This window comes from Homo sapiens, chromosome 18 (genome assembly GCF_000001405.40).
Source record: "Homo sapiens chromosome 18, GRCh38.p14 Primary Assembly".
In the NCBI taxonomy this organism is placed as follows: domain Eukaryota; kingdom Metazoa; phylum Chordata; class Mammalia; order Primates; family Hominidae; genus Homo; species Homo sapiens.
In genome coordinates this window covers 48048919-48074880 of record NC_000018.10, presented here as the reverse complement: position 1 = coordinate 48074880, position 25962 = coordinate 48048919, and the positions used below count along the sequence as shown (strand labels likewise).

At 48.8% G+C, this 25962-nt stretch overlaps 1 protein-coding gene across 18 annotated transcripts in view, besides 1 other annotated feature; it reads left to right on the top strand.

Annotated features, from left to right (window-relative positions):
- Positions 1-25962, top strand: part of ZBTB7C (zinc finger and BTB domain containing 7C) — a 385914-nt gene that overhangs the window by 337705 nt on the left and 22247 nt on the right. The window lies entirely within an intron of this gene.
- Positions 20175-20675: an enhancer, noted in NCBI's record as "H3K4me1 hESC enhancer chr18:45580577-45581077 (GRCh37/hg19 assembly coordinates)". NCBI's record gives its function as "activates a minimal SCP1, AML or CMV promoter by ChIP-STARR-seq in naive H9 embryonic stem cells {active_cell/tissue: H9 hESC(naive)}" and the evidence as "EXISTENCE:reporter gene assay evidence [ECO:0000049][PMID:30033119]".

Sequence of the window (25962 nt, the reverse complement as noted above, 5' to 3'; positions counted from 1 at the left end):
CCTGGACAGCAGGAGAGCTGGGTGTCCGTTCCTTTAAGCCAAGCGTCCTTGATCCTGCCATTTTTCCTCTGTGTTTGCCAGGCTGGAACCGTCCAGCTAAAAACTGCTTTGATTCTGTTTTCTCTGCTCGGCCATAGAGAGCACCTTTGAGAAGAGGCCCTTACTTTTCTCTTCATCCTGTCACTGGAGAGTTTGTAGGGGCTGGAAACACCAGATTACTCTGTTCCAGAGTGCTGTCTGCAATTGGTCTGAGGGTATCATGAAAGCCTTCCTCTCCATACAAGAAAGGTGCAAGGAAGCAGCCTCAGCACACAGCTGCCCACACAGGGCTGTGCGGTTCTGAGCTGCTGGGCTCTCTCTGATGGTTCCCTTGGTGCCCAGTGGTGCTCATCCATTCCTATGACAGTCGTCTGCTGAGCACCTACTGTGTACCAGGCCAGAGGGCCATGGAGACAGAGGAGGTCCCTGCTTCTCATGTGCAAGGGGCTGTGTTATATGAAGGAAAAAGCGATATCTCAGGAATGACTGCCCCCCAGATGGAGGGTGACCTTAGAAAAGGTCATAATGGGCCGGGCGTGGTGGCTCACATCTGTAATCCCAGCACTTTGGGAGGCCGAGGCAGGCAGATCACCTGAGATCAGGAGTTCAAGACCAGCCTGACCAATATGGTGAAACCCCGTCTCTACTAAAAATGGAAAAATTAGCTAGGCGTGGTGGCATGCGTCTGTAATCCCAGCTACTCAGGAGGCTGAGACAGGAGAATTGCTTGAACCTGGGAAGTGGAGGTTGCAGTGAGCTGAGATTGTGCCACTGCACTCCAGCCTGGGTGACAGAACGAGACTCCGTCTGAAAAAAAAAAAAAAAAAGAAATTTTTCTTTTCGAGAAAGTCATAATGAGGACTGAATACCCACTGCAGGCCTGGCTGGGGCCTGAGGGGCAGGGACAGGGCCTTTGCCCTGAGAAGCTAATATTTCTTTGGGGGTCTACAGGAGACAAATCAGAGTGAGGAGAGAAAAGGGAGAACTGAGGAGAGAGGATAGGGCTTTGTGCAGAAACTCGGGGAGCAAGGGCTGAAACGTCCACCCCAGGCCTCTCCTGCCAGCTGCCAGCCACAGGACAGCCTGGCCCTTAAAGAGAGGGGTTGGGGAGCCAGGGCGGAGGCCAGCCGGCCAGCCACAGCCAGACTCAGCCCTGGAAATAAGGTCTTCTTGGGTGGGGGGAGAGGGAGGGCAGGGGAAGGAGAGAAAGAGGCTGAGGGAGGAGCAGAGCCTTCTCCCTGTTCAAACTCAGGGCCTGTTTTAATCCTTTGGCCCAGAAGAGCAGCCACTGGGAGCCTGTCCGTACCTGCCCGCACCCCTGCGCCTGTCCCAGCCCCGGGGACTCTTCTGTTTGCATTGTTTCCTGCACCCCACACCCAAGCCCACAAATAAAGACGGCCACCCCTGCCCACCACCTCCCGCCCTCCCCGCCAGGGTGACTCAGGCTGGGCGCCTGGTGGCAGCGGCTCTGCTCGCCTGGCCCTGCTCCGCTGCCTACATCTGTTCCTGATTTGCTGAGCCTAGCCAGTAGCCCTTTATGTCTCTGTGACCTAAATGAGGGTGGGGTTTCTTTCCCCTAGACTTAAAAAAATAATCTGCACACCCCCTGTGGTGTGCAGATTATTATAGTGTCTGCTTGCTTAGAGGGGACAAGAAAGAAAGCGAAGTCGGACAAGTCCAGTTTAATTGCGACGTGCAGCTGCCCAAGGTCTCCTCTCCACTCTGGCCAGTTCTGAGCCAAACCAGTTTTCCATGGCCAAACTGGGCCTGGTTTCCACATTGGTTCCTGTCAGGAAGTTCCTCCGCCCAGCATGTGCTGTTAAATAGGATCCCGTTCATTCCTTTTCCTCTTATAAACTTCCCTTTCAGGTCATCCTAAGGGAGAGTGGGGCTGTGGCCTGGAGGGGGAAGGGAACTCCAGGCTGCACTCCCAAAAGGGAAGTGGCTCTGTCGGGAAGGCCAGCAAGGGGCTGGCCAGGGTCAAACATCTGGGGTCCCAGCCCAAGGATGAAGCGGAGAGCGGCTGCCTTCTCCCCAGCAGTGCCGGCTGCCTCCTTCATCACAGGCGGCTCTTAATGCTACCTTTCCTCGGTTCCCCACAGGGAGGTGGGATTGGAGGAGCAATGGGAAAAGCATCCCATCCTAAAAATATCTCCCACCTTCTCCCCTCCTAAAAATATCTCTGCCACAAACTTCCCACAGAGTGTGAAACTCTACCTTCCCTATTTCAGTCTTTGCTTGTTTGCTTGTTGCAAGCGCCCCGGGGAGACACTGTGAAGCTTGGCCTCCTGCCCCTGTGTCTGTCTGTTGAGTCGCAGGAAGCTGGCGGCCCTCCTTCAGGAGTGGGACATGGGAAGGAGGCTGCAGATCGACCTGGGAAAGGTGAGCTGGGGTTGGCGCCTGAGGCCAACCTGGCCAATGGATGCAGCCACCCAGGGAGAAGGGGGAAAGGGTGAGAGATCGGAGGAGTCTCCTGGCCCTGAGCGCCAGGCTTCATATACATTATCTCATTTAACCCTTGACTCCCTTTTGTAGCATGGGTATTTTTATCCCCGTTTGGGGTCTTCTTACCCCATTTTACAGACGACAGACTTGAAATTCAGAGAAGTAGAGTGTCAACTCACTTTCACACAGCTAGAAATCATGGCTGTCGGGTTCCAGTGGTCAAATGCTTTCCTCATATCCCATGCAGCCTTCATTCATTCATTCATTCATGCTTCATTCATACATTCACTTGTGGTAAAATTATACGTAAAGTAAGATTCATCATTTAGGTATATAATTCAGTAACAGTAAGTGTATTCACAGTGTAATGCAAACATCACCACTAGCCATCTCCAGAACTTCTTTAGCATCCCAAATGAAACTCTGTCCCCATTAAACACTAACTCGCCACACCTCCATCCCCTGATTCCAGGTACTTCCAAGAAGCAGAATCAGTGTTTGTCCTTTTATGTCTGGCATATTTCGCTTAACCTGATATCCTCAAAGTTCACGCATGTGGTAGCAGGTGTTAGAATTTCCTTCCTTTTTAAGGCTGAATAATGTTTTGTTTTGTGTATATATCACATTTGGTTTCCCCATTCATCCACTGATGGACTTCGGTTTGTTTCCACCTTTGAGCTAGTGTGAATAATGCTATGAATGTGCTTGTACAAATATCTGTTCGAGTTCTTGCTTCCAATTATTTTTGATTATGTACTCAAAAGTAGAATTGCTGGATCCTATGGTAATTCCATGTCTAATTTTTTGAGGAACCTCCCTAGCGTTTGCCACAGCAGCTGCAGCATTTTATATTCCTACCAGTCAGGCACAAGGGTTCCAATTTCTCTACATCCTCACCAACACTTGTTATTTAGTTTCTTTGACAGTAGCCATCCTAATGGCTATGAGATGGTATTTCATTGTAGTTTTGACTTACCCTTTCCTAATAGTGATGGTGAGCATCTGTTCATGTGCTTACTGGGCCATTTGTATGTCTTCTTTAGAGAAATGTCTATTTGAGTTGTGTTGTTGGGGTTTTTCTGTTGTTGAGTCATTCATGCTTCTTTACTCAAAATTATAAATGACCAGACGTTTCTTAGAGACTCTAATGTCATCATTATGTTCCTAAAGAGGACCCCTGGGTAATCACAATACCCCCTGGATCTTCTAAATAGTACCTGTGGCGGTAGTGCCTTTGTGTAAAGGATGTTTTATTGCATCTGAAGTCTCTGGAAATCCATAGCTGTTGTGAAACTGCATTTATCATAAACATATTAAGTTCCTACTATGTACTAGGCATTGTGCTATAGATGTGAAAAGCAGTATGACATGCTCTCTCCCCTTAAGAACCTTAGACGCTGCTGGGGAAAAGTGGATACAACATAAAGTGATTTCCGAACCTGAAATCTCAACATATTATCTGATGGGAATTTTTACTGCTTGGGCTGGGTTTTGAGATTGGCTGGGACCCCAGGGGCAGTTCAGTGGGGAAAGGGGGAAAACTCAGCCTCAAAAGGAAGCCAAGGAAAGGATCAGAGCAGAAACATGGGAAGGGCAGGATGGGGTGGGCTAGGGAGGCCTCTGGATCTATAGACTCTTCTTGCCCTAAAGAATGGCATGTTTGCACTCCTTCCCCCAACATGTACAGATGCCTGTCACTCTTGGTGACTTTGCTGGGCTTCTAGTCCCTGCAGATGTTTAAGGGAGCAATGAATGGGGAGTGTGGATGCAAACTACGGCCTCCTTGGCACTGTTTCAGATGGGGGATTTCCCTTCTCTAGGAGAACCCTGTGCTGGAAAAGGTGTGGCACCCACACTGAAATGGGGCAAGCTCTTCCCAGCTTTGTGGGGGCCCTTGGAAAACATCCACTGAGATGGAGGCAGTCTTCTTCCTCTTCTTCCTCCTGCTCCTCTTGACCTGGACCAGCAAGATAGCACCAATCCTTTTCTCCAGATGGCAGTATCTGAATGACTTTCACAGCTGAAGGCCAGAGACCAGCCTACAGCTGGGATTCAGGCTTCAAAGCTTTGGTGAGGATGACTCCAGAACCAGGCAGGTAGTCCCCCTCCAGGATGCCATGGCCTAAAGCATTTCACTCCTCAGTCACTAGGCTGTGAACTCATTGTGGCTGACACTTTTATTCGCTGCTATGTGTTTAGCAATGCCCGGCACACAGACCTGCTTACTATGCTTTTGCTGAGTGAGTGAAGGGATAAGTCCCTTTCTGCCTTTTTGATACTCACTTTGGTGCCCCTTGAGGTCACAGAGACCTGGATTTGACTTCTGGCTCTGCCACACAAGAGCACGGATGCTTTGGGTCAGTTACTTCAGCTCTGAGAGGCTCAATTGCCTCACCTGTGAAATGGGTTAGTGATTCCAGGAATCTTACCAGGCCCCATGGACAGCATGTACATAAAGAGCCTAGCCCTTCCCTCTCCTCCCGCTCCAGGGGCCAGGCCTGACTCCCCTGAAGCCATTTCCTTACCATTTTGATCCCTAAGCCTGTTATCAGATCTTCTTTCTGATCTACCACCATGGCTCAAATCTTGCCCTTCATCCTTGCCTTTCTCAAAGACAAAAACACCCTTCCTCTGCTCCACTCAGAGTGTAGCGGGGAGGCTTATACTGCAGTGGTTAAGAGCATATCCCTGGAATTGGAAGGAACAGGGTCTAAGATTATGTAGATATAGCACAAAGCCTTGCTCCTGATAGTAGAGGCTCCGAATACATGGGGAGGGGGTGGGAGAGGATAGAGGGGCCCGACTTGCTTTCTTGGGCCTCTGTTGAACCACAAAGCACAGGTGTCTTGGGCATGTTCTGTGAGCTCTCAAGCTCTCACAGCTTCCTGCCATATGCCCAGCCTGTCCTCTGTCTGCTCACAGTCCAGGGGAAGACACAGAAGAAAGGGAGAAATAACTCAAGGACTACACAAGGCAGCAATCTGGGCTTGACTGTAAATCCGGTCAGGAACAGTGATGAGAGACCGCAGAGGGAAGAGAAGAATCGGGAGATCTTTCAAAGGGAGAGGGTGTCAGCTGGACCCTGGAGAATGCCTAGGAGATGAAACAACAAGCAAGGGAAGGGCATTTTCCGATTGTGGTGAGAATTGAGAAAGGTAACAGGCGTGCCACCCACAGGAACACCTGGACAGGGGTGGGCCCAGTGACTGTGGGACAGTATGCTCATTGATTCAGTCAATCCAGCAACAGAAATGCATGAGCACCTACTCTGTGCCCTGCCCTGGCTGCGCTGGGGCCGGGGATACCAAGGTGGTTGGAGGCCACACATACCCTCCAGGAGCAGAGGCGGCCTACCTGGCAGGTGCCACGTGCCCTTAGTGGAGACTGGGAGGATGCTGAGTTCATCTCACTCCCTGAGCTCCGGAAAGAGCTTGTTCTCTTCTCACATCATGGGGTCCTGCTGGTTTCTCCCACTACGATGTCCTCGGCCCCCTCCTGAGAGGAGACATTATATTCTGGCCCCCAGATTCTGACCATAATAGTGGAGCACATTGTGAAGGTGAAAAGGGCCTTGAGAGGTGGTCCATGCTCAGAGCTGTCAAACTTTAGAGAGCAGCTGAGTAATGTGCTGGGGAGCTTGTTAAGTCTGGAGATGCCAGGAGCCTGCCCAAAGGTTCTGATTCTTAGGTCCTGGATGGGGCCCAGGGAATTTGCATTTCTAGTAAGCTCCAAAGTGACTTGTTTCCTCTGAGAAGCCATGGCCCTCAGCCTGGGTTGCACATGGGGAGGCCCTGGGGAGTTTTAAAACACTGATGCCCAGGCTCCATTTCCAGAAAGTCTAATTCAACTTGTCTGGGGTTGGGGTCTAGATGCTGGTGTTTTGTTTTTTTGTTGTTTTTTTTTTAACAGCTTCTGAGGTGTCTGATGTGTAGCCTGGGTTAAGACTTAGACAAGGCTCAGCCAGGTGCGGTGGCTCACATCTGTAATCCCAGAACTTTGGGAGGCCAAGGCGGGCAGATCACAAGGTCAAGAGATCGAGACCATCCTGGCTAACACGGTGAAACCCCGTTTCTAATAAAAATACCAAAAATTAGCCAGGCGTGGTGGCAGGCACCGAGTAGTCCCAGCTACTCGGGAGGCTGAGGCAAGAGAATGGTGTGAACCCGGGAGGCGGAGCCTGCAGTGAGCCGAGGTTGCACCACTGCACTTCAGCCTGGGCAACAGAGTGAGACTCCATCTCAAAAAAAAAAAAAAAAAAGACTTACAAGGCTCAAGTTTGAGTGCCACTGAATTCGTCTAACCAAGTCGTATTAGTCAGAGTTCTCCAGAGAAGCAGAACCAATAGGATGGAGAGTGGAAAAGGAGAGAGAGAGGGAGAGATTGATTGATTGATTGATGACAGAGTTTCACTCTTATTGCCCAGGCCGGAGTGCAATGGTGCAATCTTGGCTCACTGCAAACTCTGCCTCCCAGGTTCAAGTGATTCTCCTGACTTAGCTTCCCGAGTAGCTGGGATTACAGGCATGCGCCACCATGCCCAGCTAATTTTGTATTTTTAGTAGAGACGGGGTTTCTCCATGTTGGTCAGGCTGGTCTCGAACTCCCAACCTCAGGTGATCTGCCCGCCTCGGCCTCCCAAATTGCTGAGATTGCAGGCATGAGCCACCATGCCCAACTGAGAGAGAGATTTATTTTACAGAATTGGCTCGTGCAATTGTAAGGGCTGGCAAGTCCAAATCTCCAGGCTAGCAGACTGGAGACCCACGGGAGAGTTGGTGTTGCAGCTTGACTCTGGGGACAGAGTTACCTCTTCCTCTGGGGACCTCAGTCATTTTCTCTTAAGGCCTTCAGCTGATTGGATGAGGCCCACTTACATTCTAAAAGGTCATCTGCTTTACTGAAAGTCTACTGATTTAAATGTTAATCTCCTCTAAAAGTAATTTACAACTCCCTCTATTTCTGCTTGACCCAGTATGTGGATACCATGGCCTAGCCAAGTTGACATGTAAGATTAACCATTGTACACCTGATTTTACAAATAAGGGAAGTAGAGAAGTGGTCAACAACTCATCCAGAGTTTCATAGCTGGTTCCTCCGTTGCTGTTTTATTTATCATGGACTCATAGATTATAAAACTATGAAGGGATCTTCAAGGTAAAATCCAGCTCCTTCACTTACAGAGGAAGGCTATGACTCCAGGAGGCTAACCACCCTTTCCAAGTCATTCATTTTGGCAGGGAATAGAGCTATAGAGCTATAGAGCTAGGTTTTGTTTTGTTTTGTTTTGTTTTTTTGGAGATGGAGACTTGCTCTGTCACCCAGGCTAGAGTGCAGTGGCACAATCTTGGCTCACTGCAACCTCCACCTCCTGGGCTCAAGCAATTCTCCTGCCTCAGTCTCCTGAATAGCTGGGACTACAGGCACACACCACCACGCCCGGCTAATTTTTGTATTTTTAGTAGAGACAGGGTTTGACCATGTTGCCCAGGCTGGTCCCAAACTCCTGAACTCAGGCAATCCGCCCGCCTTGGCCTCCCAAAGTGCTAGGATTACAGGCGTGAGCCACCACACCCGGCAGAGCTAGGTCTTAAACCCAAGACTCCTAACGTCTAGTGGCTGCTCCTTCTCCTCCACTCCAAATGGCAACACAGTGAGAGCTTGAAGAGAAGTGCCTTTTTCTGCACTTGTGAACATGCCCAGCATTTCTCAGGGCCTGTAGACTTGCATTTGAAGATCTCAGGAACAGGGGAGGGGGAAGCTATAAATTGACTCAGCCTCTAAGTAGAGGGGAGAGTTGGGAGGCCTCCCAGTGGCTGCCAACTCCCTGGATTTATATCCAGGTCCCGTTGTTATCTATAATTTTGTGGCTGCTTCATCTATGCTTGCATTTGCACACTTAATGCCATAATCTACAGATATGGTCTCTGCACACTCGCCTCTCACTCAGCACTAAACATGGCTTGTGAAATAGATTTTGCTTTAAATCAAAGCCCAGTTATAATAGTTGATCTTGTTAGAAACACATCACCCCCACCTCCGCCCCCCCAGGGCTTGGCAGCACCCACATCCGTGGGGTGTACAGATCCTCTGAAATATGCATGTGATGTTAGCCAGAGATTGTGTTCCAAAGAGTCTGGCTGAGGCAGGCTGTGGGCAGATAGGGGCTCTAGAGACAGAGCCGCAAACCAAGGCTGGTGGAGCCAGGGTGGGCACTAGCCCAGTCCCCAGGGATGCCAGCAAGGATTATGGGGCCTCAGGAGATGAACAGCATGGAAGCCGAAGGTTAGGAGATGATGCCTGGCTGGCAGATGAAGGAGAGAGCAGATACCACATGCAGAGACAGAAGACCTCCAAATGGGTGGGCTTCCTCACACAAGAAGCTTCCATGCATTGCCTACTAGGGCTGGATCCAGAACTTATTGGGAAGGAGGAGGAGGGGTGAGCAGAGAGGGCAGAGCTGGCAAGTCCTGACCCTGAGCTAATTCCAGGGATGGGGGTGTATTGGAAGATGAGCTGCCCCACTCTGCCCCCTCATTTCTGTTCAGAGAAAGCAGGCATCCTCTGATAAGACCACTTCTCCAACGGCCCTAGAGGGAAACTGTATGGTACAGTAGAGGAGGCCCTGGGATGCCGCAGCTACCTGTGTGACCTCATGGAGGCTGCTTCACACCAGAGCCAGGGCGAGAGGTCAGGCCTCCAGGCTTGTATCCCAGAGGGCTCTGTCCTCTGGTCCACAGCTTCCCAACCAGTGGCTTTGCCCCTTCATGCCTCTTGTCAGCTGAACAGCCCAGCAACCTCCTGAGAGCCCTCCAATTCCTTTGTGCCATAAAAATAGTGTTTCTCTGCAAATTCCATGACTGAAAAAGTTTGGAAAGCATGGCTCTACCCCCAGTGTTACCTGAAGGTGTGCTTGTCACACCAGTTCTGCAGGATATTAAAAGGCGTTAGGCAAAGCAGAAAGATTAAACAAGTTTGGGAAATGCAGAGTTAAACAAAGTTAAACAGGTTTCTATACTATGGGCTTTCTCAGGCGTGTGTGTTTGTGTGTGTGTGTGTGTGTGAGAGAGAGAGAGAGATTCATTGCGAATCTCCAGCAAGGCTCTGGTATTCAGGTATGCCCAACATTTATGTCACTCAAAGTTCATAGTTGCAAATAAGCAACACAAACTGCTGCTGCTAACTGTCACTCACTTAAGATTCAAGGTCCTGGCAGCGGGGTCCAGCCAGCTGGGCCTAGCGCTGTGTGCGCATGCGCTCGCTGGACAGGGAGGGGGCGGGGGGCACTGGGAGTGGAAGGAGGCCCCTCTTCCTCAGTGGGAGGCAGAGTCCTGCTTCCTACCATCAAAACTCTCCCCACAGGGCCTCTCCCAACCAAAAGGACATGTTAGATGTTTGGCGGTTAAAGTCTGTGACTGCAGAGTCCTTTCCTTGAGTGGAGTGGTGGGAGCTTAGGAGTACCCTGAAGGAGGGAGGTGGTGTTTCGAGAAGCCCTCTGTGGGCTTTGTTGCTTTGTTCCAGGTCTTCTCCTGCCATTTTCCTCTAGAGCAGAACTTCTAGGGTCCACTTCAGCCTGCATCCTACTCCTCCCGGGGGGCCCTGCCTTGGGACCACCTTCTTCTCCCTGTTCCTATTGCCATTTTTCTTTTTTTATTTTTTGAGATAGTCTCACTCTGTCACCCAGGCTAGAGTGCAGTGGTGTGAAGACGGCTCACTGCAGCCTCAACTTCCCAGGCTCAAGTGAGCCTCCCACTTCAGCCTCCTAAGTAGCTGGGACTGCAGGTGCATGCCACCATGCCCAGCTAATTTTTGTATATTTTGTAGAAATGGGGTTTTGCCATATTGCCCAGGCTGGTTTTGAACTCCTAAACTCAAGTAATCCACCCGCCTCGGCCTCCCAAAGTGCTGGGATTATAGGCATGAGCCACCACACCTGGCCTATTGCCATTCTTCTTGCCTCAACTCACAGGCACAGATGGTGGGCCCAAGGTCCATGGGACAGGTACCCTGTATCTTCCAAGAAGACGAGTCATTGACATGATAAGCTCACAAGTACTACTATAGGACTAGCCCAGAAATCCTGAAATAACTTGGATACAGGATAAAAAAGGCCTTAGTGGTTTCCACCAGCAGAGCTTCTTGTTAAGACCTCCCCTAGTGGGAATTCCCAGTGGTTGGAATGGCAAGGTGGATGGCATCACACTCTGCTGGTGGAAGAGATATACTTTGGAATGGGCAGAGCTTAGTGGGGTGCCCTCCAGTGACCCCATCCAGCAGCTGCATATGCATGGAGCCAACCCTGCTTCTGTTTCCCAGTAGACTGGGGCCACCTTCTCATTCTTCATGGCCATATTGCTCAAATTTCCAATATAATTATACAACTTTGTGTTGACATTTACTTGGAAAGACATGCTTAGGAGGAGGACTGGATTGCCAGAGATCAATATCACTATTGTCACTGTCCTTATTAATAAGTATTTAATTATCAATTATAAATTATATATAATTATAAATTAAATATAAATGCAAAGATATCATGGAAGTTTTGGGTTGGATACAAAAAAGGCATTTGGCATGATTTCTACCATGGACGCTTTTACATTCCAGTCCTATAAGCTTTAGTTTTCTCAACATCTGCAAAATTAGGATTAACCACATAATCCCCATAGCCCCATACACCTCTCAAGACATCTCTGCCCAGTGAGCATCTGTTGAAAACCTAGACCACTTCTTGTTGAGAAAGCTGGCCATGGCAATTGGCCATTCTTTTATTTCTATAACACATACTGTCACCTCTCCTCCTTTCTCTCCTTTTTCCACACCTTCCTTTTCCCTGCTTCCCTTTCCTCCCTTTTCTCCCTGTTTAAATCTCATTAACTTCCCCTCCTGCCTTTCTTCCCAGTTCTGTTATGTTCTGTCACCCTACTGTCTGCTCCTCTTTGCCTTGGATCCCTCTGGGAGCCCCAGGGCAGAGGGCTGCCCCCTCACAGAAGTATTAAGGTGCCCAGGTTAAGCAATCCCTGGTGACAGCAGGAACTCTTCCTCTGGCATTGAATGGGACAGGACAGGACCTCAAGGGTGTAAGCTGGGGGGGAAAAGCCCCTGCGCTGTTTGTCTAGTGGAGCTGATGTCACATGATCCTTAAGGGCAGCGGAGATGGGTGGTGCATACAAGGAGGCGGAGATGAACGAGGGTGACCAACCATCCCAACTTGCCTGAGACAGAGGGGGTTTCTGGAATGCAGGACTTCCAATGCTTCAACCAGGAAAGTCCTGGGAAAACCAAGACATGTTGGTCTCACCTTTTGGCTTGGGTGGTGGGAAGGAGGGAGGGTAATCTCAGGGATGAGAATGGTGTCTCTGTAATCCTTTCTGGTTGCTGGCTGGCAGAGTCACAGACTTTCTCCATCCCACTGATGCCAGGGCCTCCATCCTGAACAGAGAGCTGAGCAGGTGAAGGCAAAATGCGGGTTCCAGCGCAGTCACTGTGGCTCCCTGTGCCAGGACAAGCATCTTGGCCATGCCTAAGAGCTCAAGCTGAGCTTTCTGCCACAACCAGGTAGACACTTTGACATCTCTGTGCCTCAGCATCCTCAACCATAAAAGGCCCTGTCCAGCCCTGACATCTTAAGGCCTTCATCAGATATTTGCGGACAGCATTCCTAGCTCTGCCACCCATGAGTTATCCCAGTTTTTAGCCTTTGGATGCTCTCAGATGTTCTAGAATGGAACAGGCCACTGACTTACTGCAGTCCTGAGATATGTGACTTGGCCACTCCTGGTCTCAGTCTCCTTCTAGGAAAATGAGGGTAAAAATAATCATCTCATAGGGTTAGCGTAAGGATCAAATGAGGTAATTTGTGTAAAAGAGCCCAGCTCAATACCTGGCACACAGTAGGTGCTCAAGAGAAGATGCATGAAATTAAAGCAGCTCTAGATATGTCTTGACACGCTTAGTGTTCAGGGGTTCTGACTGTGACAGGATCTTGTGTTGAGCACAGAAGTGATAGAGTGCGCCAACAGCATGAAAATCAAGCGTGACTCATGCTTCCAGCTAATCCAGGTCCTCCCTGGGGAGAGGGAGAGGGAAGTGCTCTCCTCTCCCCTTCTGGGGATCAAGCCCCTTAAAGGTGTTCCCCTCACCTATCACATGATGAACCCTCAGGAACACAATGGCATGTTTCACAATGGCTGTCTTTGTTATGTTTTGAAGTTATAGCAATATTGAAGCAATATTGGGCCAAAGGTTTTCAGAGGAAATCCTTTTTATACTGATTTATAAATTGTTTAATGAGAAGAAATAAGATTCTCTCATGTTTTCCTTGGGAGATTTAGCTCCTGTAAATTTTCTGGTTTAGCACTTTGTCCTTCTTGCCACACGTGAGAACAGAGGTACACTGTGTGCCCAGGCCTGCAGAGCACACATCGGCACTTGCTGTTTACTGAGGACTTTGCCATTCTTTATTACTGATGCTCCCAGGTCATTTCCTGCTTTCGACAGTAGAAGTGATACTGACTATTTCAAAGTAAATAGGCCCATCTGTGCTCAGCAAGTCACTCAACAAACATTATACCAAATGCCTAGTGATGTGAACCTCCAGGCTCCACTCTGTGAAAGGTACAGAGAAGCAACTCATTCTCATTCTCAAGGAACTTACATTCCCGTCCAGTGGGCTCCATGCTTTTGAAAATAAGCATCCTTTTTGGAGCTGAAAATATGTCATGGGACCCTGCTTGGCTGTACCCCAACCCTGGGTGATTCCGTAATGATTTTACCTACATTTGTGTTGAATCGATTCCAATCCCGTCTGCATTTGAAAGCTGGCCATACATATATGTGCGTGAAACTCATTGTTGAGTATGCTGATGGAATTGGGGGTGCTTGTGGGCCTGAAGGCCTCCTGCTCTGTCCTCAACTGCCTGAGGGGCTCAGTGAGTGTTCAGGACTAGTGGAGGGAAAAGAGGGACTCAAGGGTAAAGGAGTGAGAGCATCCCTTACAAAGGAAAGACGAGGCCAAGCACTCCACGTGGGACTATACCAGGTGGGTGGCCCCTCAGTGCACAGACCACAATGAGTCTTGGGGTGAAGCTGTAAAGGAAGCAATATTTTCCTGGGGAATGTGTAAATGATCCAGCCTTTGTTTTATCCTACTCTTGTCTGTTTCAGGAAAGCTTCCTCATGACCCTTTTCTCTGTTGAACTTTGCATCTGTGTACACATTTTTCCTTTCAGTTTTCATGATGAAGGTCCATTCGTCTAAAGCTCTATAAATGATCTGTAAATATTTCCAAGCCCTCACCTCCTGCCTTGCTCACTGCGTGGTAAACCCCTTGCTCTCTAGTGGCCAGAACAGGGTCATACCCCTGTCCCTACCACTGTCCAATCCCACCCCAGCCCCAGCACTCCATGGCGGCTTGGTCACCACTTTTCAAGCAGCTGGGGTTGGATGCGACTGGGTTTCTCTCCATTCCTGGCAGCCCCTTTCACTCTACGGGCTATGGGTGTACCTGATCCCCCGACACTCACCCTGCAGCACCCGCTGTGGTCTGCTGACCCCATCCCCAGCACCTCACACCCCAGAGCTATTTCTCCTGCTCTCCCCAGGCCCATCACAATAGCACCTATTTTCCACTTACATCTCCATGTGGTGAGGACTAGGAGAGAGGGAAGGATGGGAACATGAAGGACAGGCACCTAATTCAGGAAGGTTTCCTGGAGGAGGTGACACCTGGGCCAAGTCTTAAAGGATGAGCAAGAGTTCACCCAATGAAGGTGGGGTAGGGTGAGGAGGTTGGGAGGGGACGGCATTTTAGCTGAGGAGGCGGAATGGGCAAGGCCAGGCTGGTGGGAGTTGGGCACACTGGTGACATCTTCCAGGTATTGGAAGGTGGAGGGAACCAGCAGGAGGCAGGCAGGAGGAGCAGAGGGGGTGTGCCATGGGCTCCCACAGTGAAAGCTGATTCACTGAGTCAGGAGCAAGGAAGAGGGAGACCTTAGTCTCAGCCAAGGTTTGGGAGCTAGATGGCTACTGTGGAGAGAGGGACTCGGTTGGCGGAAGTGAAGGGTGGCCATCCCCATCCCCGCTCCCTGCATGCCCTGCCTTTCCTTTCTTCCAGAGAACTGTAGCATATTTGTTTATTCCTTCCCTCCTCCTTCTCCCCTCTGCTTCCCCTGCTGGCACAAACTCCGCAGAAAAGCTAAAAATTCCTCTCATTTGACCCAAATCAGAGGGTGGATGAGCTGGGCTTTATTACACACTGGTTAAAATGGGTCGTGTGGGAGAGGATGGGCTACATTATAATTGTATCTTTGGTCACCTCCACCCACCCGGCCGAAAAAAAATGGTAGAGCTGCCTCTATTTAGACACCGTTTTACAAAGGGGCTCTCCTCCTCCCTTCAACTGGTGTTTATTAGTCTTGAGAAATAAGCCTGCCTGCCTGGAAAAGAGTGGGAGGAGGAAGAAGCCGGGGAAGGGTCGCACCCTCCCACCAGCTGCCTGTAGGGAAGCTGCCTGGGCGGGTGGGGGGATGGACCTCTGGGGACTGGGGACCAGGAGGCAGCTGGGGAGAGACTGGGGCAGGGGCTGTTTTCAAAGGAGCAGCAACAGCTCCCTCCACAGTATTTTTTTTTATGATTCTTTAGCTCCTAAATTGTTCTGTGGGATTAAGTGTACCATGTATTTGGAATTAAGTGTCAGGAAAGCTGAAAGGGAGGCTGTCGCTCTGGCTTTGAAAGAAATATCTTTGAAAAGGGTGTGGGGCCGGTAAATAAATCTCTAGTAGCAGTCAGTGTAGTAAGAAGTGACAGCCCTCTCCAGGCCCTCCTGCCCCTCCCTCCAGGAGACCACTGGCAATGGGTTGTGAGTCAGGCACACCATGGGACATTTGAGAATGCTGGCATTTGAATGCTCCAGTGTGCCAGTGAGTTGTAGGTCTCAGGTGGGGAGGTTGCAGGCATTCTGTGTGTGAGTTGTCTGCATACTTAGGAGGGTACCAGCCAAACCAGAAGCATGTGTGTGTGCTGGAGCCTTTTAGTTAACCCCCGCCTTCTGTTTGCAAATAGGAAGCTGGCAAATCACTGTGTATTCTCCTGCTGTTCCCAACCCCCAGTAACCATGATGGGAGATATAGGGGAATTATAAACCACAGATCTTTACTATTTTGTTGGAGATACAAGATGACACACACAAAACCCAGGCAAAAAAAAATAAATGGACAAAGGCCAAAGAGTACATCCTGCTTCCCAAAGGAGTTGAGTTAGTTAATGTACATTAGTTAGCTGTTTCTGCATAACAAAATGCCCCAAAACCATAGCAGCTTAAAACAATAAACATCTCTCATCCACATGATTTTATACTCAGGAATCCAGGAGCAGCTTAGCTGGAACGTTCTGGCTCAGGGATTCCTATGTGGTTTCAGTCCTGAAGGTGACTGGGACTGGAGGTGGGGACAGGAGGACCTACTTCCAAGCTGGCTCACTCACATCACTGGCAAGTTGTGCTGGCCGTTGATGGGAGGCCTCAGTCCCTCTTCATACCTCTCCTTGGGCTGCTGAACTATCTCTCAAGATGACAATGGTTTCCCCCACAGTAAGAGTTCCTGGAGAAATCAAGGTGAATGTGGCAATATCTCTTATAGCCTCGCCATGGCAGGCACACACCATCGCCTTCCTGTAGTCTGTAGGCACATATACCAGCCCTGATACAATGCAGGAGGGGACTGCACGGGGCATGAATACCACGAGGTGAGGATCCTTGGGAGCCATTCCGGAGGCTGGCTGCCACTCTCTGAAGTCACATAGCTTAGAGGAGAAGGTGTCAGGGAAGAAGTGAAACTGACTCACAAGGGGTCTTAAAGACCCTGGGATGACCAGAGAGGTGGGACTAGAGGTGTGAGCAGCTCAAAGGAACACGCACCAATGCAGAAAAGAGAATGGACTGTTCAGAGGCAGTTTAGAGACCAGCTTTAAAAAGACCCCAGGTCAGAGAGAACTGGGAAATTATATCCAGAACAGACTGTGGGGGACCACAAAAGGCAGACTGAGATGGCAGGGTCCCACAAAGGGCATCATCAAAAGTCCTAGAGTAGGGAAATGACAGCGTCCAAGTGGGGAAGCTCAGCCCCTTACTTGCTGGGCCCCTTGAGTGGGTCCAACCCTTTAGAGCTCATTGGCCATATGTTTAAAACAAGAATAACAAATAACAAATGAGTTACTATATGTGAGATAAGTGGTTAGCTGAAAGCAGTAAGATTTTCATTATTGTGATTATCATCATTTGCAGCCATACTCTTGAAGCTCAGATGGTGCTGACACAACATCACGGCTCTTCCTAGCACCTGTGTCCTTGGTGCTATATAGTAAATGTTGAACTAACAGATAACTGGAGTCATGTATTCTTCCATCACTGGAGAACCCAGCTGTGATGCACAGCTTGCCTATGTGGCCACGGGGACATTACCGTGCAGTAGACAGGTGCTGGGCAGAACATGGGCCACCTCTAATGTCCTGCAGTTGAATCCTACAGCACCTGATGGCAGCCAGAGCCTGTTTTCATCCATTTCTCCCTTGAGCCTCACAGCCACCCATGAGATAGACAGCCAGTGTCATTAATTCCATTTTACAGACAGAAAAACTGAGATGGGTAGCTGAAGGCCCCAGAACAAATCAGTAGGCATCAGACATTACAAAAAATGTCAAAGACAATTTAGAAGTCTGTAAAAGAAGGACGAAAATATAGATCATTCAGCATTTTTAATAATAATGGCTTTAAGGTTCAAATACTATCAAAGAGTATATGTAGGAAAATAAATCTGCCTTCTACCCCTCACTGGCAGCCTTCCAACCTCTCCAGTAGGAAGGCTCTAACAGTTTAATTCATGCATCTACAAACCAGTATGTACACATGGTCATCTTTTTCTTTCTAAACCTGGTAACCATGCAGCATAGTGATAAATCTTAGACATAGTTCTCTATGTATCAATATACAGATATGCCTCATTCTTTTTAATGGCTGCATAGTACTCCATGATGTATCTAGCAAGCCTCTATTGATGGATATACTGTTTACTTCCAATTGTTGGCTATAGAATCAATGCCACAGAGATAATCCTATATGTAAGTTGAACATATGGCAGTAGTGAAATTGCAAGATATATATCTATAAGGGTAATTGCTGAGTTATCAGAATTTTTTTTATTTTTGGCCCATCTGGTAGATGAAACTTGAAATCTAATTTTTATGTCTTTAATGCTGAATGATGGTAAGCATTTTTCATACACTTAAAAGCTATTTATATTTATTTTTCTATGATCTTCCTGTTCATGGGTTGGTTTTTTTTTTTTTTTTTTTTGACAATTTTTCTAATAAACTATAGGTCTTTTCCTGATTTGGTGACACATGGTCTCTCTCTATATAAAGGAAATTAGCCCTTCATCATATGTTTCAAATATGTTCTTCAGTTTGTTTGTGTCTTGATTTTGTTATGGAATTTTGGATGTACATAAATGTTTAAATCATTATTTAGTCAAATTTAACAAATCTTTTATGACTTCTGGGTTTTCTATCTTAGCAAAATATTTTTCCTTTGCAATTATAAAGTAGTTCTTCAATATTTTATTTACTTTTTTTAACTTTTAAAGCTTTGCTACATGTATCATTTGTTTTGGTGTAAGGAGTGAGGAAGGGATACAAGTTTTATTTTGTTTTGTTTTGTCTCCTACATGGTTGCCTAGTTGTTCTAATCTCATTAATTGAAAAATCCATTTTAAAATACAAATTGAAATTCCACCTTTATTACATGCTAAATTCATACCTACATGAATTTATGTGAGTCTGTTTATGGACTGCCCGTGACTTTATATTGATCTGTCTTCCTGTTCATGATCCAGTACCAAATATTTTATTTTTATGGCTTTCTAATGTGTCTTCATATCTGGTAGGGCTGGTCCCCCTACTTCTGTTACTCATCTGTTTCAAAAATTTCTTGGCTATTCCTAAATGCTTATTTTTCTATATGAACTTCAGAATCAGCTTATCTAATTTCAGTAGAAATTCCGATATTTTTATTGGGATTGTATTGCACTTATTAAATTATTTAGGGGAAATTGGCATCTTTATGGTATTGTGGCTCCCTGTCCAAATACGAGTTGTATCTTTCCATTGACTTAAGTCTTAAGGAGTGCTTCAGTCATGTTTAAAACAGTCTCTGTATGGATCTTACACATTTCTTAATAACTTATTCCTAGGTGTTGTTTCTATTTTTGTTGCCAAGTCAGTGGGGTCCCTAATATACTTCTGAACTTGTCTGTTATTTGTATAGGAAAGTATCCAATCATATCATCCACAAATAATGACTTTTTTGCCAACTCTTCTTTTTACTTTTTAACCTTGTATTTCTTATTCAACATTTCTGATCTTGAGACTTCAAATGGGAAGCCGACCTTCTAGGTGTGAGGAAATTCCTGAGCCCGTCCTAGCTCAGCAGCGGATCTGCCAGGTTTCCTCAGTCCAGGGTGGAGATGGGGAGATTCTCCTGCCTTGAGAATATTTTCACTGTAAATTTATGATGGTCTGGAAACCAAAAATCGCAGAGCAAGACGACGAGCGGTGGTAGCTGCAGTGGGGTCGAGTTGGGGTGGAGGGAAAGGGTAGCTACTCTATAAGGTGCTGAATCAGGTGAACTATTCTTCCTTTAGGTCGGGAAAGTCTAGTCCTTGGTGCTGGGCTCCTGTGGCTGGGAGCAAATATCAGGAGAGTGAAGGCAGGCTCCTGTCTCCTGAGAGTCTCACAAAGCACAAAAGGGAGGGCTGGATTCCCAGGCTGCATTCAGAAGCGGGCACTTGTGATGCATTGTTGCACAGCTTTCCACGATGCCCTCCCTCCCCAGACAGCCGTTCAGCCCAGACACCTAGCTCTGACTTGCTGGCTTCCATATTCCTGATTGTAGCACCCAGCCCGTACTTGGTTCTTTTTTTTTTTTTTTTTTTTTTTGAGACTTGAGTCTTACTCTGTCACCCATGCTGGAGTGCAGTGGCGCAATCTCAGCTCACTGCAACCTCTGCCTCCTGGGTTCCAGCGATTCTCCTGCCTCAGCCTTCCGAGTAGCTGGGATTATATGCACCTGCCACCATGCCCAGCTAATTTTTGTATTTTTAGTAGAGATGGGGTTTCACCATGATGGCCAGGCTGGTCTTGAACTCCTGACTTTAAATGATCCTCCCGCCTCAGCCTCCCAAAGTACTGGGATTACTTTGGGAGGTGAGCCACCATGCCCAGCCCCACATTAGGTTCTTTATTGGTTCCTACTTCTTTGAGATATTTTGCTGTGGGTTACTCTTACCTGCCCAGTGAAGCCAGAAGCCCCTCTAAAGCAGGTATTTTCTATAGACTTACACAGCATGAAGCCCAGTCAAGCATATGGTGAGTGATCAATAACATGTGGTAATTGACTGATATTCCACGAGTCAACCAAAGGGGACAAATGAGTTTCCAACTCACATCCTAATTGCCCTCTCTTTGGAAAGGGAACCAAACAGCCATCAGCTTCTGCAGTGGGCAAGGGAGGAAATGATAGCAGAGGAGAGACTGGGCTCAGGTATAAATAGGAAAAGGAAACGCTTGGGCTTTCTCAGTGCAATAAAAGTTCTATATAATAATATTATAAGGAACTGTGCAATTAAGCCTGGAAATTGCAAGCTTCCAGTTTGTTCTTTCCCAGCCAAATGCCAGGCGGTTCTCGTGGTGGACGGCGTTTGCTTAGAAGAAAAGTACAAGTTCTGAGGCAAATCTGAGGTTTGGCTTCCTTTGAAAAACACAGGCAGGGCCGGGATCTTTGAGGCCATCTGGCTGGACCTCGTCTCTAAATTGAGGTAGACAACAGCAGGGAGGCAGGAGTGTTTGTCGAGGGCTGAGGCATAACCAGGACATCTTACACCTGTGATGAGTCCTCGGCATGTGACTCTGTCCTCTTTCCTCCCACAGCTGCCACCCCCCACGGCAGCTCCTCCCCGGCCAGATCCCACATGGAGGTCTGGGGTAGAGAAGGGCAGGGGAGTGGCCGTGAATAATGCAGAGCGGCTTCCTGGGTCAGGAGATACAATCTCCTAACTGGTTCCGGCCGCCCTTCCCTCCCTGCTCCAGGACTGCTTCTTGCTGACACCTTCCTCAAATACAGCGCCAAGAGATTCTTCTCCTATCCAGAACCTTCCCTGATTTCCTTCGCGGAAGGATTCCAATGCTCATGAGGCCCCTGCCTCACCGTCCCACCCACGCCCAAGACTCCCACATGGTGGGCTGCAGTGTTCCCTGCTCTGCTTCCCAGACTAGCCTGTCTCTAAATTCGTTGAACTTAAATCTTTGAACCCAGCACCGCAAACTCCCTGGCATTCCTGTCTGCATGTGCCATCCTCACTCAGCCTCTGCGCATGCCTTCGCACAAGCTAATCCCTTTGCCAAAATGTTGTCCTTCCCCTGCCCCACATCCCTGGCTGCTTGGGGGCCTCACCTCCTTGGAGGAGTCCCCTTCCTGGGCCCAGCAGAGTCCCCGTCCTCTGACCCCAGGCACCCCATCTGCCTCCATGAACCAGCACTTAGCACTCATTTTAGGTCTTGTCTTTACTGTCTCTCCCACTCTTCTGTGGCTTCTTAAGACCAGGAGCTCCATCTCTTTCATCCATGTTTCTCCAGCACTTAGCTAAATGGGTAAATACTGCAGTAGCTGAGAGAGACAGTTGCAGACTGCTTAGGAAACCCGGAACCTGACTGCTTAGGTTCAAGCCTCGGCTCTACCTCAGTTTCCCTACTTGAAAAATGGGGTGATAATGATGACAGTAGCCACCTCATGGGGTTTTTGAGAGGATGAAATGAGAGAAATATAAATGCAAATATAAATATAAATATAAATGTAAAATATTTAGGACAGCGACTGGTACCTAATGGGCACCCAGAGTACATCTCAGTGACCAGTTTGATTCAGTCAAAGGTGAAGGAATCTCAGAATTGGTCCTTCCATCACCTGTTTACTGTGTCTCTGTGCAGCATACCTGAAGTCACCATTATGGGAGAATGAGTTGTGTTCCTGTCCATTCCCCAACCCGCGCATGCAAGGCCTGTGGGGTGTCTGTAATGAATCTGTGCACATTCTGCAGAAGCGGCCGCTCCCAACTCCATGCCCATTCTTGGCCACTGTAGGGGCGATGGGAAGACAGACATGGAAGCTGCCTCCTCACTTTTCCTCTGGGGCAGGCGGAAGGGACGCATCAAGCACTTTTACCAACCTGTTGAGTCGTCATCACTCTACTCACTGTGGTCAAATAATAACCCCACCTTGACCTTGTAGAACACTCGTCATCTGAAAGTCCAACGTGTGTTCACATGTATTTTCCTGTGTAACTTGGCAGGGTCCCAGAGAGAACTAAAGTGAAGGGGGTGGGAGGAGAAAGAGGGCAAAGTCAAGGTCACAGGAAACCCAAAGTGAGATGCAGCAGCCCCAAGACATCTGAAGTCGAGCTGTGCATGACCTCAGAATCCAAGGATCTATCCTGGAACCAAAATATTGAAATGGATTCATGTGTGGGCAGCAAGGGACATTCACAACCAGCTAGTCTTATATAAAAGAAGAAACTGAAGCTCAAACAGGGACCCGGCCGCTTCAAGGTCACATGAAGCAGTTGCAGAGCAGAGCTAGGATTTTAACTATAATTCCTCCCCCAGAGGGTTTTGGCCTGCTGTCTGCTGACTGCACACCTGGGTACTTCCCAGCCTTTGCTCCTCATGCTCCCGGCCTTTCTCTGCTCCAACTATGGCCCCCTCACCTGGCCTCTGCTTTCCTTTCTGCCTGGTGTAAAGTCCCCAGGGCCAGCAGCAATGGACTCAGCTTCCAGAGCCCTACCCACAGCACTGGGAGCCCTTGGCACGTGGGTAGAAGAGGCATGCAGACAGCACACTCAGAGGCTAGCCAGCTGTGGAGCACCTTAATGCCTTCTAGAACAGATGCCAAAATATCCCCAGGAAGGGTCAAAATATGGTACCACTTAGCCCAGTTATCCACACACAACCTCTTCAATAACTAGCAAAATCTAAACCATTTCCACTCTACTAGAGGAGATGGCCCCTTTGGGCAGAAATGGCTACAAAGAATAGTGCTCTCATGGGTTGATGCTTGTCCCACCCTTCCACCACAGCCCCACCCTCCAGGGAGCCATCCAACACCAGAAGGGGACATCTCCTGTGAAGGCAGCCTGAGGCCATTGGGAGTATGAAACTCAGTAACGCGTGGCCTAGTGCTGTTTATGGGAGACGAGTGATTTATTTTATTATCTAAATTTTCAGTGGTTTAATAAGGTTTAATAAGCCTCCCAAGAAGTTTTCTGGCTCAGGAAATCGCCTGTAATAAACACAAGTAGTAAATCCTTTATTTTGAACATGAAAGAGGTGTGCAACTTTTCTTAAAAGAAAACAAGTCTCCCCCCACTGCCCCCTAGAAAATAAAGGATGAAAAAATAATTAAAGAACAACAGCTTGAAGGGGCACCATTTGATTTGCCTGCCGCAGACTTCCATGGCCAACCCGGCCAGGGTGCCAGCCATCTGCGGTGGCACTCCTCTCCATTGGTGTGTCCCGCCAGCTCTTGACCCTGCAGTTGCACCCTAGCAAACTGAAACGAGCCCTCACTTTGTGACTGAGGCCAGGCAGCCCCGTAGGGAACCCACTTTTTCTGTCTTTCTTGCAAGTCCCCTGCATGGTGCATTAGCAAAAGCAATGGCCTCAGGGAAGATGCGAGCGCCCCCACTCTCATCCCATCACTTTGTGACCTTAGCCTCACCTTCACTTTAGTTTCCTCATCTGTCAAATAGGCATAATTCCGCCTGGCCTGCCACCAAAGAGGTCAAAGTGCTTTGAAAGGTAAAAGGCTCCAAGCCACCCCTTGGATGAGGGGATGAGGGCAGTGGTCCTGGCACATCCACTTCAGATTGCCCCAGAGGCCTCAGGCAGCCTCTACATAGACGAAGGGGGTCCTCTAGGTGTGACTGAGCAGCTCTGACACTCATGTACCCTCAGCCTGAATCCCACACCCATTTCTATCCCCAAAGCCCAGGTGTGAGGCTTCCCCTCATTCTTCCTCACCCATCTGCCCATCCCTTGGGCTACGCTCTTCGGTACCCTTCAAGTCCAGCCTAGAGAAGCGCACCCTGGCTTTTGCCCTACTCTAAACCTCTATGGGGATCTTAGACCTTGTTCTGATAAAATCAAACCAATGCTGGTGTAGAGGAGATGGAGAAAGGGTTGAAGAGGTGGCGATGATGTTGGGGCTGGAGGTCAACAGGGGATACAGCCTCATACAGGGGGCAGAGCCTAGGTGACCAGCAGGAGGTTTGGGACCTCTGTCACTTACACAGTTCTGTGACCTTGGGCAAATCAATTCACCAGCAGGAGCTTAGGTTTCTCGTTGGCAAAATAGGCAAAATAATTCCTTATGTACACAGGGATCCTAGGAAAACATGAAGAAAAATGCCTGTGAACAAGCTTTCCTGAAAGTAAAGCTCAACAGGCATGTGGCATTGTTAACCCAGGGGGTTTCAGCAGAGAACCATGAAGCAGAGACTTGAGTGACTGGTTGCAGAAAAAAAACTCAGACCTTAGATGTAGGGGCAGAGAAAATCTGTCTGTGACTGGGATGAGAACCCAGGGGTGCCTGCTTCCTGGGTCTGGCCTCTTCTGGGCCCTTGCTTGTCTTGTCAAGGGGGCTGGACATTGCAGGGAAAGAGGAGGGGGTGCACAATTGTGTGAGGTGGGAAGGGCCTGCATTCCAGCTGTAAGGGAACACCTGGATGGCCATTGCCCTTAGCAGAGGAAGAAAGCTCAGAGCAAATCGCACAGAAACCCTGAGGGGCTGAGTGGGCCAGGCTCAGCTGGGGACTGCGGGCTCTAGGCGTGTCCTGGCAGGGTGGCAGAGCAGGTGGGGCCGGCTTTACCCAGTGTGGGCGCTCTGCCTGGGGTGCTCGTGGCGGGCAGGGCACAGGCTAAAAGTTGAAGTAGCCCTGCCCAGCCTCCCAGCCCACATGTCTGGTTCCAGCCTCTGGGGCAGCCAAGGCCCAGGGGCATTCCAGGGCCAAGGGGTGTGACCACCTTGCTTGGGGAAACTGCCAAGGGCTGGGTGGGTGTGCCCAGCAGAGATCTAGGGCTGGCCAGCTGCTTGGGCCAGGTCTCCCACCCTTTATCCTGCCCTAACCCACCACCCCTTTGTGGATTTCAGTGCCTACAGACCACGAGTAAAGACCTGCTCAAAGAACGCAGGTAGCCGCTGCCCAACCTCATTCCCACATCTGGAGAGGAAATCCACATCCCTTCTCACCCCATGCAGCACACCTCCCACCCCCACCTCAGCCACTAATTCCACCAGGTGGCTGTGAAGCTCCAGGCCTGGGCATGGGAGGAGGTGGAGGCTGGAGACTGGGTGGGGACAGCTTCCGGGATAGTGGGAGTCGGCTGGCTGGGGCCAGCTTGCCCTGGGGATTTGGCAGATGGAACCACCATCCTGAGCCCAGATTTGCTGAGCTGAGCAGGATTCAGGGAGGCACCAGACTTGTGGATCATAGCAATAGAATTGCACCAACAGTTCTATTCTTGAAGGGCAGGAAAGCAATGGGACTCAAGCAGAAATCCAGTTCCCACCCTGCTGTTTTCTAGCTGCGTGACTTGGAGCAGGTCACTTAGCCTCTCTGATTACCATAACAGGGATCATAATACCAGCAGAAGAATGAAATGAATTAATATAAGCACCTTATGAATGATAGGGCTCTGTTCAAATGTCAGGTATCCCACGGCAGAGGGCTGGGGCCATCCCACTGCCTTTTGTGATTTCAAAGCTATCCCCTTTGTTTATTTGAACCAATCTCATTCATACAGTGTCTACCATGTTCCTACTTGCTGGCATCCTGGGAGTAATGCAGAAATACAAGAAATAGACCCTGCCTTGAAGCAGGTGATCTCACTGGGGGAATGGGACTTCCAAATAACCCAAGTGTGCCTGGAACCTCAGGCTGACTCATTCCACTCACATACCACTCGGCGAGATCCATGCAATTACTTCCCCATTTCCTAGATAAGGAAACTGAGGCAGCAGAAGTATATAATTTGCCTACACCAGCACTTCATGTTCCTAGTAAAACTAAGACTAGAACACGAGTCCTTTACTAGCCAGGCAGGCTTGCACCTAGTTGGGGGCACTGTGGTCTAACAGAGGGGACACAGGCTTGGGCATTAACCTATTTATGCAAGAGGTTGAGAATCTTTTTGTGAAAAATCAGACTTTGGCGATGACCTTGAGCAGTAGGCTATAAATAACTCCCACAAGCTTAGTGTTCCAATAATGGAACACTAGGCATAAATGGGTTAAAACATCCTAGTTCTAATTCTAGCTCTGACACTGATTTGCCATGTGGCCTGGGGCATGGGCTTCGTTCTGTGCCTAATTTTCTCATC